Source organism: Homo sapiens, chromosome 2 (genome assembly GCF_000001405.40).
Source record: "Homo sapiens chromosome 2, GRCh38.p14 Primary Assembly".
Taxonomy (NCBI): Eukaryota; Metazoa; Chordata; class Mammalia; order Primates; family Hominidae; genus Homo; species Homo sapiens.
Genome location: NC_000002.12, coordinates 23,489,407 through 23,501,924, shown reverse-complemented (window position 1 = coordinate 23,501,924; position 12,518 = coordinate 23,489,407). Strand labels below are relative to the sequence as shown.

Below are 12,518 nucleotides of genomic sequence, written 5' to 3'. Positions count from 1 at the left end.
CCATCAGTGGCTGCTTCTGGAGGCAGGGGGATGCCTGGGAAGGGGCACGAGGGGGCTTTCTGGGCTGATGGGAATGCTCTTTTACTTGATAGGAATGTGGGTTACACAGATGTCTGCATTTGTCAGTGCAAAACTGATTGAACCGCATGCCAAAGATCCAGGCATTTCGTTGTAGAGAAGTTACATTAAAAACAATATTTAGAGGGGACCTATAGGCTGTCAGTGGTAACAAAATCTAGATTAATGAGTTTTCCAGATAAAAACAGTAACAGTTAAAAATCAGAAACGTTTTTAGTTTTACTAGTTTGAAGGAAAACGAAAAAACAGCAGCGTTCTAAAGCTGAGTGAACAAAGAACTCCAAATTACTTCAACTCTTTTGCTGACACAGGCTCTTCAACCTGAACATCGATGATCGGGCTGAGTGATAATGGAATTAAGCATTTTGACTCCAAAGTCCTGTCCTCGATGCCCATGCTATAGGTCTATTTCCACTGCTGTCTCTCGGCCGCGGCTATCTCCCACCCTCAGGGAACGTGCCTGCACCTGTATAGCCTCTTTCCCCGGGACCAGCTGACACTACAGGGCATCTCAATTAGGTTCAATCCAATTTGTATCAGCCCCCTATTCCAAAGCAGGAATAGGGGGCTGATACCAATTGGACCCGGTCTAGCAAGGAACAGACCCTGAGATCCCAACCTGGGCTGGAAGGGAATCTGCCCGACGTGTTCACGCGGGGAAGAGTTGGGGATTTCTGATTGGAGTCCGGGCCATCAGCCACCCTGAGTCTCAGAGTGGCTCCCGTGTCCCAGATCCCTGAGATGACCCAGTTCATCCCAGGACTGACACCCTCAAACTACTGCAGGAAGTAATTTCAGCTAATCAAGCTGCTCGTCAGCTCTCCAGACTGGGCCACCACTTTCCCAGACAGCACACACAGGCCGGGAGATGCTCCGCCGCAGACAAACAGATGCGATTTCCACTTTTGTTCTCATTAAACAGTAGCATAATCATGATTTATAAAAATATTCAAATCTTAAAAAGCATGTCAAAGTGCAACCTCGTGAACTGAACTCAAAAAAGCTACTCACTCCACGTGCAGGATTTGAAATCCTGATTTCTCTTTTATAAATTGTCGCAAGGGGATGAGGAGTTAGGGAAAGTAATCGGTTTTTAAAACTCTTTTCTTGGAAATAGTAAATTATGTTTCCAAACTCAAAATAGTCCAGTTTTTTTATAAACCTAAAAATCAACTTCCAAAGCTCCAAACAGGTTTTTAAATCAGAGAAACAGTGTTTAAAGTGGCTTCAGAGTCACAGTTGGTTGCCCATCACATATGCATCATGTCACTGCTATCAGGAGCTTGTCTGTTTCTCCATCCTTCTGCTGGGGAAGACAGGAGATGGCCAGGTGGGTGTCTCTACATATCAAGGGCAGTTTTCCTAACATTGGTCTTGACTTCTAGACCTACAAAACTAGGATCTAATAAAATGATACCAAGTGGTATGCAAATTCCTAAGGTTTAAACATAGCACATACACACCAAAATAAATGGAAATTCTAACAATTAAACTTTCTCCACGGCTTCCGATCACTTATCTGTTTGTTCTGACTCCTGAAGAGCCCTCTGTACTCCTTCCAGACATCTCAAGGCGCAGTCAAGTCTCCCTCTTCCATGAAGCCCTCCTGGACTCCCTACCTTCTGCACACCAGTGTTTGACACGAACGCACCACTGTGTCCTTCCTTGCTAAGGCACTGTCTGAATATCCTGCTGTTCCCTTCCAGACCATGCTGGGAAGGGCTGGGGAGAATATCTACTTTAGAGCAGAGATGTTTTCATTCACTGTTATCTTGCTGGCGGACAGCACAGGGCCTGCTGTACAGTTGGTACCAATACATATTTACAGGTCTAAGGAGGGTCATACGTAAATTAATTATCCTCACAACGCTAAAACCAAAGCAAATGCACTTAAATAAACCAATAACCTTCTATCCTAAAAAAAGCCAACACCTCCTACTCCTCTGTTCCCACCCATCTCAGCCAGTGGACAAAGACTATTTCTAGAGAATGCGCCTCAAATATTAAGGTTGAAGCGTCCTAAGCAGTCCATGGAGGAAGATGTGTCATAAACACAGCAGCTGCGCTGTTCCGCCCCACTCCTCCCTCATCTCCTGAGAGACTGCCCTGGGGTCTGGCAGACTCTGGATCTCCAAGTCATGCTTTACTTTCTCTGGGTGGGGGCCGACAGTGCTGTCTCTGTGTGCCCAAGGGGCTGAAGACCTTTCTCCTCTTCCCGCCTCAAACTTGTTCCAGCCATCCCTTTTCTCCTTAGCCTCATTGCCCAACTCTGAGAAGTGCAATTGCTGAAATCAGACGGTGATTCCGATTACTCCATAGCTACCCTAGAGCCAGGGAACGTCACCAAGTCACCTAAAGCCCAGCCACTGCTTGAGTCTGACAGCTCTGGAGCAAGAACATAAGTATCTATTCAGGTAGTCCTGCCTCACACCCACAGAAGCCAGGTATTTTCAATGCAATGTTGATCCAGTTGCCCTAATCTGTCCATTTCCTGTAAGCAGTGGTAGCTGGCCCCTCAATTTCCTCTCCAGTCACCCCAAAGAAGGGAGAGGTAGGGCTGCTCTAAACCATTCCACTGTCTGGCCTACAAGAAATCCCACCAGCATGGGCAGGAGGAGTGAGCCCTGAGCAGCCAGAAATCAAATGGAAACTGAGTACCCAGGCCTGGCTTCAGTGAGTATGCCAAAAAATCCAAAAATAATAAAGTCTTGCGAAACCATTTCCTCAGGCAGCTGCAGGAGAGGAAACTTCATGCAGCAAGAGAGAAAAGGGCTTTAGGGAAAACCTGGTAAGATTCCTCCTATGCCTAATATTTAATACAATTCTTATGGCCACGAAAGGAAACGTGATCGGTCGCAGGGACATCTGTAAGCGTTCAGCCATTCGGTCTGATTTTCAGGATAATTTCTCTCTGAGAGCTCCGTAGGCTCTGTCACTTTCAGCAATGGAAAGAGACACAGTGACAGGTCGCCCAGTCTTGGGAGGCATAGGGGCGGCCTCACCCAGGTTCTGCCTTGAATCTTCTAAGGTTACACTGTCCAATATGGTAGCTACTCGTCAATGTGACTATTTCAATTAACATTAATTTAGCTTAAATAGAATTCACAATTCAGTTCCCCAGTCACACGTGCCACATTCTAAGTGTTCAACAGCACTTGCCAGCACAGTATAGGACATCTGCATTACTGCAGAATTCTCAGTGTGGAAGGAAGCCCCGACCTTCCTAAATGTCCTAACGAAGGCGCTGAGAAAGCTGGGTGTTGGTCAGGGCAGGACTAAGTTCTTCCAGTCTGCTCCCCAACCCCGAAAACCTTCCTGAGCCTCAGCAGAGGGGCTTCCTTTGGCCCCAAAGGCCTGGAGCTCCCTGCTTGGCAGGGAGGGCAGGGCGAGGCCCCCAGGTAGTAGTCTCCTGCCTGATCGGGTGTTTGTTCTGATTTGTCACAGCCAGCTGGATGTCAGGGCACCTCACTGGTGCCGCAGCCTCCAGCCCACTCGGTATGGAGGCCAAGGTAGAGACAGCAGAATGGAGTCTACACTGGCACTTCAGAGAAAACAGATTTACTGCTGCTCATATCTCAGACTTCTTGATTTTCGGGGAATTCTTGCCTGCTTTCCTGGTGATGAGTTCTACATCCAAAACAAACAAACCTACCCTGCCCAATATATGAATAGGATGGTGTTCACTGTCAGTGTATAGGATAATATTATATTGTATGCTGGAAGTTTGCTAAGAGTAGATTTTGGTGCTTTTTTCACACACAGAAAAGGGTAACTAGGTGAGATGATGGATATGTTAAGTCACTTAACTATAATAACCATTTCACTATCTATAAGTTTATCAAAACATTGTGCTGCACACCTTAAATTAAAAAAGAAAAATCCTAGGATTCTGGCCAGAAATCTTGAGTCAGCCCTTCCCGTAGTTCCAGACAGATCTCTGTCTCCTTGAATACTTTCTACCCGGTGCTCCTGTAATACAGGCTGTCTTTCAGAACGGCATCCATACGGTTGGTTTCCCCTGACTTCAGTGCTGAGGCCCACTCGACACCTCCAGCTCACAGCTCAGTGCCCCTCAGGTCACATGCACGCACCAGCCTCAGGCCACCCTCTCTCTTGGCCCAGCTGGAATATTCCCCTCTCCTCCAAAGAGCTTAAGGCTATATTCCTTTAGGAGGCAGGGAAAGATGCTCCTGGGCTAATGAACCTTCCCTGGCTCTCCCAGCCCTTTGCTCCCTCCCTTCCCTAAATCCCTACAAAACTTTTAGGCTTGGCCCTGCCTCTCTGGGTGGAGGTGAGTTGGAGTCCATTTCTGTGATCTCCGTGCTCGGCCCAAAGGAGGCTTGGCTCATCTTGACCAAATGATTATTGCACCGTCTCCCCCAGCAGTCCTGTGCAACTAAAACGGGGTAACAGGGTCCAGGTATGTGGAACTCCAGAGCACGTGCACTGCTAGAGGGAGGGGCTGAGTGACTGCCCAACCCCAGGAAACCCTCGGCTCCCTGCTGTGGTGCTCTAGTCATGGAGGGACAGAGGAAGGAAAGAGAACCACATGGGCAGCCACAAAACCACAGAGAGATTGCCAAGGAGGAAAACAAAAAAGGAGTCACTTACTTTCATCCCGTTTTCAAGTAATCGCAGTTGCCAAGAAAGCAACCAACCCAGCGGAAATACCCACCGACTGAAGGCAGTCAGAAATCTCATGCCAACAGAAACAGCACTGCCTGGTAAAGGTGGCTATGATTGGACATTAAGTCATTCTAAAGGGCTCATAGTTTTTTTTTTTTTTCCTACCCTAGGAGAAACTCGTGATTCTTATATGGTTGCAGAACAAATATAACTGTGACTTATGTTTCTCAATTTACAGAATTGATTTCATGCGCTTTTGACAGGAATATGATATTTCTGACAATTGCAATTCTTCTTGACGCTGCAGTGTTTGGAGGGCAAATGTCCCATATGCCACACTCCCTGATTTGTTTTTAGGGCCTTCCAGGTATGTGAGAGACTCTCACAGAAATGCAAATGGATGGTATGTATGGATGCAGAAGTCTGAGTCCCTGGGTCTGCATTCAGTAAATAACTTTCCCCCAAGCATTGCCACAGAAGTCAGGGGAAGAGGAAGCATGCCAGAGAAATTTCCAAAGCAGAGACAGCGGTGGTCCCTGGGCCCCCTAGGGCAGCTCTGGCCCCTCTTGCAAATCTGGAGGCCACTGAGGCCTTGCTTCCTGCCCAGGCTGCACTGCCTCCCCTCCCTCCACCGCTGGCCCCGCTGAAGGTTAGAGGGGGTGCTGCTGCTGCACACTGGCGGGGTACCCTTTTTGGGGGAAAACATATCTTTCCGGTGGGAGCAGGATGGGGGAGAGGGAGGAGGTACCAGGGCTGTGCTCTTTCTGCATACCCCTTTCCAAATTTAAGAGGACCTGGAATGAATGGAGCAGGAAAACAGGCAGTTTCAATAGTCTGGTGATGTTTCAGCTCTTAAGTTCAGAGGTGGGATGGATCATGTGTGTTCATTTCATTGTTGTCATACAACTTATCTAAATGTTACATATCTTATTCTGAAAATACCATATTACATAAAAAATTATAAGTGGTATCCAGGGCTGTCTCGTGTCTAAGGATGCAAAACCAAATTTCTAAGATCAGTTTGGCTCCAGGAACAGCTGATATCCCACTGCTGCAGCGGGTAAGCCGGAGTCCTCTTTGGAACCCAGTGAGCCCCTCTCGTGCCCCCTGAGACTGAGCAGTGCCGTCCGGGCACTGTGAAGGACACACGGGTGGCCATGTTGAAAAGACAGTTCATCTGAGGTCATGCCATAGGTGACTGGCTGCAGCTCGGGCTGAGGGAGGAGCAGAGCGGCGCTGGCCAATTCGGCAGCAACTCCAGGATTTGGTTCGTAAGTAAAAACAAGCAGTGGGGGAAGAACAGCTGGTGTTGAGTCTGGTGCTAGGATTAGTCTGCAACGCTAATCACAAGAAGTGGAAAAAATTAGGAGGTCCTGCCTGCCAAGGAGGTTTTCAAACACATGCGCGTGCTACAGTCGTGGCGGGATTAGACTCTCCCAGTGCCAACAAGGTAGGCGTCCACAGCCATGAGCCGGAGCCTGTTCTGGGGTGTCAACCCCCGGAGCCCTGGCCCTGACACGATGCCAGGAGGGGCCGTCACTCTCGCTGGAGCTGTGGGTACAGTGGAGGTGGGTACGGTGCAGGCTTGACCCCAAAGCTCCTCTGTGATGTCCTGGAGAGAAGCTGGGACCAATGGGGGCTGGGAGAATGTCCCGAGTCCCAGGGGACATGGCAGGGTTGACTGTTATACCCACTGCCACCCAGGGCAGAAGATAAAGAGTATTGTACTGGTTTAAGTGAGATGACATTTCAGACATTCATGAAAACAAATGGGAATGTCCAGCCAAACATCAGAAGACACAACCTCAACACCTCTGCTGCAAAATTATCATGTGTCCCAGAGCCAGGTAGGGGCAATGACCTGGACCCACCTCACCAAAAAGCATGGCATGGGCACCAGGATTGGGGGGCTCCATTGACTTCCCTGCCACCTGCCTGACAGCCCACAGAGGCACCTCCTAGAACGTCACTACAGGGACCACCTCCTGCAGGCCCTCACATCTTTTACCATTTCCCTTAAAAATGGGGTTTCCAGCCAGGTACAGTGATGCACGCCTGTGATCCCAGCACTCTGGGAGACTGAGATGTGAAAATTGCTTGAGGCCAGGAGTTCGAGAAAATTGCTTGAGGCCAGGAGTTCAAGACTCCGTCTCCAAAAAATAAATAAAATACTCACAGAAATAAATAAAATAAAAGAGATTTCCTTCCAACAGAGGCACTGAGGCAGCACTGAAGGCCCAGGTGCTTGGGGCTGGGTGAGTGGGAAGGAGAGATTGGCTTACGGCGACGAAAGGAGCACTGTCGCTTCATCAAGACCAGGATACTGCAATAGTGCAAGGCCAGTGTGAGCTGCACGACAGATACGCTGATGGCAACTGGGTGTGTGGAAAGAAGACAGAAGGAGCCCGGAAAGCAGGGAGAGGACCAAGAAGTGGGAGAGAAAACTAGGTGACGGTCACCAGAATCCATCCTGGACCAGATGGAAGCCGAGGGGGTCTTTCATGATCCTCAGCCCCAGAATCATGATTGGGGGTTTGGGGTCACTCATGCCATTGCCAAGCCTTTGGGCCAAAACAAATCCTGTTCTCAGAACTCTCCAGAGAGGCTTCGGCAGTTTGCATGAAGGTCCCTGCAGTCCTATATCTTGGAAACGTGCCTGATGGATATTCACGACAAAGCACGTGCTTTTAGAGCAGCCTGGATTGGTTGCCTTTCCACTTGGACTGCATGCAGCTGAAAAAGATGCTCAGGCCTGTGGCGTGCCTGTTCCCAGGAAGCGTTTCCTTAAGGTCACAGGAAAGCATCTCCGTGGAGGAGCTGCTGGTGGAAATGTTCCCAGCACCCTTCCCTGCCTGACCCAGCTTCCCAGACCTTCATTTTGGTGTTGCTATTTGCTTCTACAAAACGTGGAGCTTTTCAAAAGACATTCAATTTCCTTTGTTGCTATTCAGTTGCCATAGTCAATTAAAATCTATCAATGCCCCTGAATAAATTTGTGCTAGGTGAAGAAAGAGCCTCAGTACAATCTCTCGACATGATCTCTATTACCTTATGTTACTTTAATAGCTAGAGTAATAGTTTGTTATTAATGGAATTAAGCAATTTAGTTCAAGCTTCCCAGAGGTCTTATACGACAACTATTATAATTTGTATTCTCAGATTTTCCATTGAGTAGATGCCATGTGTTTTACATTACTTGCTAATGTTTCGAGAGATAGCAGTAGTATATTTAATATCTGGCTTTGTTTAATGATTCTAAACCTCTTTCAGTGTAGGTAAGTGCTGCTGGAATTTTGAGCAGTTTAAAAGTCTACACTGTACAAATAATTATCTCCAATATTACTCAGCTCGATTTCAATTTGTGCTTTTACTTTGCCATCTATCCATCCTAAATATTTGACCCAGAATGTGTTTTCCATTTTTCTCACTAAAAGAAAAAGTCTCCTGTCCCTATGGAGAAGGCCGGAAAACAATGTACTTGTTCAAGTGACCACACGGACACACAGACACAGACACACACGCATAAACATGCACACACACATACACATGCACACACATGCGCGCACACACACACACTCACACACACACGCCCACCCCGCTCCCAGAGATTTAGCATATTCGAATAGAGTCATATTTAATCAAAGATTTAAAAAAGTTTTTGATGATTGCAAAACCTGTTTTTAGAAGAAATAAATGTATTCACTGCTTTATGAAACAGCTTGAGAAAACAAGATCGTACAATGTACACCATCTCTGTATTTAAATAGTTTCATTTCTATTCATGAGCTCCCTGATTAGATACATGGAAAATATCATCAGTAAAATATGAATAATTCTGACAAATTAATAGCCGATTTTTTAAAAAATGAAAATATGTGTAAGCATCTCATCCTCATTAGATAAAGCTGCTATTGGGGGTGCATGAACATCCTGGCCTGCCTGGCCACGGCATAAATCCCTCTTAAACAGCAAGCAGAGAAGCAAAAGCTCCCAGAGGCCCCCTGGGAGCTGTGCTAACAGGAAAGGGCAATGCTATTTGCAAGAACAGGTTGGGGCAAACACTGAGCTGGCCAGGCTTGTGAAGTGCTCTACCTTACGTCATTCCTGTGCGGGAGGCAGGGCAAAGACGACAGGGCTGTGAGATGTTAGAGCAGGAACGGAGCTTGAACATCATCTCGTCCAACTGCCCATTAGATCCTGGAATATTTCCACTGTTGCAGATGAGGGAGAGATGAAAGTAATTTGCCCAAGGTTATACAGCTGCAACGGAGAGAGGCAGGACTTGAGTTCTGGCTTTTGGGCTCAGACACCCGTGCCTTTCCTGTGGGCTGCATCGTAGTATCGTGAGGCTACGGTAAGGAGGGCCTTCAAGGAACCCAGCCGATGGGCAAAAAAAAGAGGAGGTTCGGGACCAGCCAGGACTAGCTCTGTCTGTCTTGCTCTGCAAACCCCTTCTCTAAGGATATCACCTCTCTTTTTCCTTCCTTCCCAACCAGCCTTTGAGACTCAACTCTGTTTTGCACAGAGCCTCAGAAAAATCATGCTTTTCTTATATTCATATAAGCATCAGGCTAAAGGACCCAGCCCCAGATGGAACTCTCTGGTTCTTAATTCCCTTACTTCCCATTGCAAAGGAGATTTAATCTGATGCTCCAGCTAATTTCTTAAAGTCACGGCCCACCAGGCCTGTGTTGCTGCCAGCCAATGGAAGAGTAGCCTGAAGCCAGGTATCTGCCCCTCGTCCAATAAGCTGAGGCTGGAGGGTGGGCCACGTGACTGCTATCAAACAGCAAGGGCTGGGGGTGGGTGCAGGGGTTTTCAGAAGCGGGGGTGAAGAAGACCAGCAGCCCCAAACCGGTCTAACAGATCAGGCCCTCACAGGTTAATTTCCCCTTCTGCACTAGAGGCATGAACAGTGTGCAAGGAGGAATGGTTGATTCAGCCTTGGGAGGAGGTCAAGGGGGCCAGTCCAGAGAGGCCCATGGGAATAGCATCCCAGGTGGAGGAGACCATGTGGAAGAGGCACAGTGGCACGAGGTCTCAGAGTGTGATCGTGGGTGGTATGCTTTCAGCACAGGTGTCTGGAACTTGGCCTCCAGGGTCTGGGGAGGCTGGACGTGTGATCTGCATCCTAGAGCTCCCGCTGGGGCCAGTGTACCAGAGGAACTGGAGGGAAAAAGGTGGAGGCAGGGAGCCCATGGTGGTTGCTCAGGTGCCAGTTGGTGAGGGTCTGCTGAAGGAAGTCAAGAGCAGTGGGGATGGAGGGGAAGGACGAGTGGGAGGGATGGTTAGGAGGCAGAGCTGACAGCCTGTAGTACGTGGAGGCGAGATGCACTCTCAGGTTTCTAACTAGGGGACTGGGCAGATGGTGTTGCCATTTCCAGAGGTGGGGGACATGGGAGGAGGAGGTAGCTTGAGGGAACATGGAGTTCAGCGAGGTCGCACGGCACCTGAGCGGCATCTGGAGGGAGGGGCAGTGGACAGCCATGTCAACAGGACCAATCCCTAGGGATGGATCTGGGAGGCTCCAGCACAGAGCTGAGAACAGGAGATCAGTAGCACCCGGAGGGCTGGAAGACAGTGATATGGGATTCCCACTGCTGGGACAGGGATGAAAGGGGCAGCTACCTGAGGGCAAGAGGAGCAGGAGCAGAGCAGAGCTGCTGGCCCAGCGGGGGAAGGCTTGCATGCATGGGAGCTATAAGCCCTGAGACCTGATTCATACCCCTCAGCCCCCCAGGCATCTGAAGCCACACAGGGCCCTGCTACTGGTTTGCTGGTGTGCCTAGGCCTTCCCTCTGCCTTTTCCCAAGCAGGAGAAAGCCATCACTACAGGAACTCATACTGAACCACCAGACCACATTCGCGCAGGTCCCTGTACTAAAGGCCAGTCCATCTGAGCTCCCAGGGTAGGAGAGCAGAGCTCAGAGGCTGTGTCATTCACATACCCACCCACCTGCAGAGGGCCTCTCTGGGTCATCAGTGGTCCTCCATCCTATGAGGGGCAGTGAGCTTCCACAGAGCACAGGTGGAAGCTGCTGGTGTCCCTAGGGGCTGGAGCACTGAGTTTCATACTAGAATCTGATATAGAGTTGGGGGAAAGGGGAGGGAGAGCATTAGGACATATACCTAACGCATGCAGGGCTTAAAACCTAGATGATGGGTTGATAGGTGCAGCAAACCACCATGGCACATGTATACCTGTGTAACAAACCTGCATGTTCTGCACATGCATCCCAGAACTTAAAGTAAAATAAAAAAAAATCATATTAGGTAAAAAAAAATCTGATGTAAAGAAGGAAAGAGGGCTAGGGTTCAGCCCAGCCTCCTGGACCACCACAGCTGGCAACTGGATGGGCCCAGGGCTGCCCGTTACACCCTCCAGAGATCCCTGTGACCTAGCAGCTGGCATGGGGGGGTTTAGGTTGGGAGCCATCCATGTAACCAGCCCTGAGGAGGGAAGGGTATGAACCAGCATTAATACTGAATGACTGCCACTCTGAACACTTTTACAAGCCCCAACTTTCCATAAATCCAAAGTCAGAAATCAATCATCTTTTATGAAAGATATTAATGGCAATTCCATTATTTAAATCCAATCAATGTAGGTGGGTTTTTTCCCCCATGGTATTGGAGCCAAGTAGTTTGAGAAGGGGGCTTTTGACCAAGCAGCGGAAAAAAACAAAGCCTAATTACCTTGCTCACATCTAAGTATCACACTTAGATAACTGCTTAGGAAAAAGAGATTCTGTTTCTCTCCATTTATCCTGCAGAGTAGGAAGGTTTTAATTCCACTAGCCTAGGAAATATAAAAATTCTTCTCTTGTATTCACTGTGTGCTGTCCGAGTGTTGTCAGGACCACTCAGCATCATTGCTTTTTAAACTCAGTCACTTAGCTGCTGTGATCTACTGCTTTCCAATCAGATTTTTTTTTTTTAACCACCAACCCAACTCTTCCAGGAATTGGCTTCAATGGCCTACAAAATAGCTTATCTTTAGCAGAAACAAGTGGGGGTTTTTTGTTCCCAGAAGTAAAAAGGCACAAAAACAAGACAGAAACCTAGTGGTCTGGGAGATCAAGAGGCCAAAAGAATCCTCCAGAGAATGTATGCGCCTGCACGCGCATCCTCGCCCACGGAGGCTCCCCCAGTGCGCACTCATGAAATAAGTGAATGATCTTTCCATTCAACATCAGCTGAGGCAGGCGGGGAAACAATCCATTGCCAACACTAGAGCAAGGGGAGTATAGATAAGAAGACTGTTTTTTCAAACGCAAATGTGGAACCTAGAGTGGACAAGGAGTCTCCTGGTACCCGCCTGAGAGGACTTCCTCTTTCCCCAGCCACCTCCTCCTCTCCCTTAGGACCTGATGTGGGCACCTCCTCCTTGGTGTGGGTACCGCCCACCCCACCCAGCTCCCTGACCAGACTCCACGCATGCAAGTTTCACTGTGAGGTGCTGATCCGTTCACATGCCCCTCTCCCCAGCTGTTGCAGGGGCCAGGCACATTCACTCGGGGCCATCTAGTGCCGTCCCTGCAGGAAGGGCCTTGCCACCACCATGCCCCCATCCCAGAGTGGAGCCTTGTTTCATGCATTAATGCGAAGCTGGTTCTCTTGGGAGGCTTTCATGAGGACAGATTCAATAGCGCAGGTTTCTGAGAATGACTTCAGCGTGGCAGGAGGTACGCAAGGACTTCTGACTCACCCTGCTTTCGGAGGCAGCTGGGGACAAGCTCTTCTCCATTTCCACTCAAAACAAAACAAGGGAAAATGGGCTTAAATTGCAGCAAGGGAGATTCAGGTCAGATAGA

The 12,518-nt window shown here is 48.7% G+C and overlaps 1 protein-coding gene across 1 annotated transcript in view, besides 1 other annotated feature; it reads right to left on the bottom strand.

Moving 5' to 3' along the window:
* KLHL29 (kelch like family member 29) overlaps positions 1 to 12,518 on the bottom strand; it is a 323,428-nt gene that overhangs the window by 206,682 nt on the left and 104,228 nt on the right. The window lies entirely within an intron of this gene.
* Positions 3,970 to 4,653: an enhancer, noted in NCBI's record as "H3K27ac hESC enhancer chr2:23720142-23720825 (GRCh37/hg19 assembly coordinates)". NCBI's record gives its function as "activates a minimal SCP1, AML or CMV promoter by ChIP-STARR-seq in naive H9 embryonic stem cells {active_cell/tissue: H9 hESC(naive)}" and the evidence as "EXISTENCE:reporter gene assay evidence [ECO:0000049][PMID:30033119]".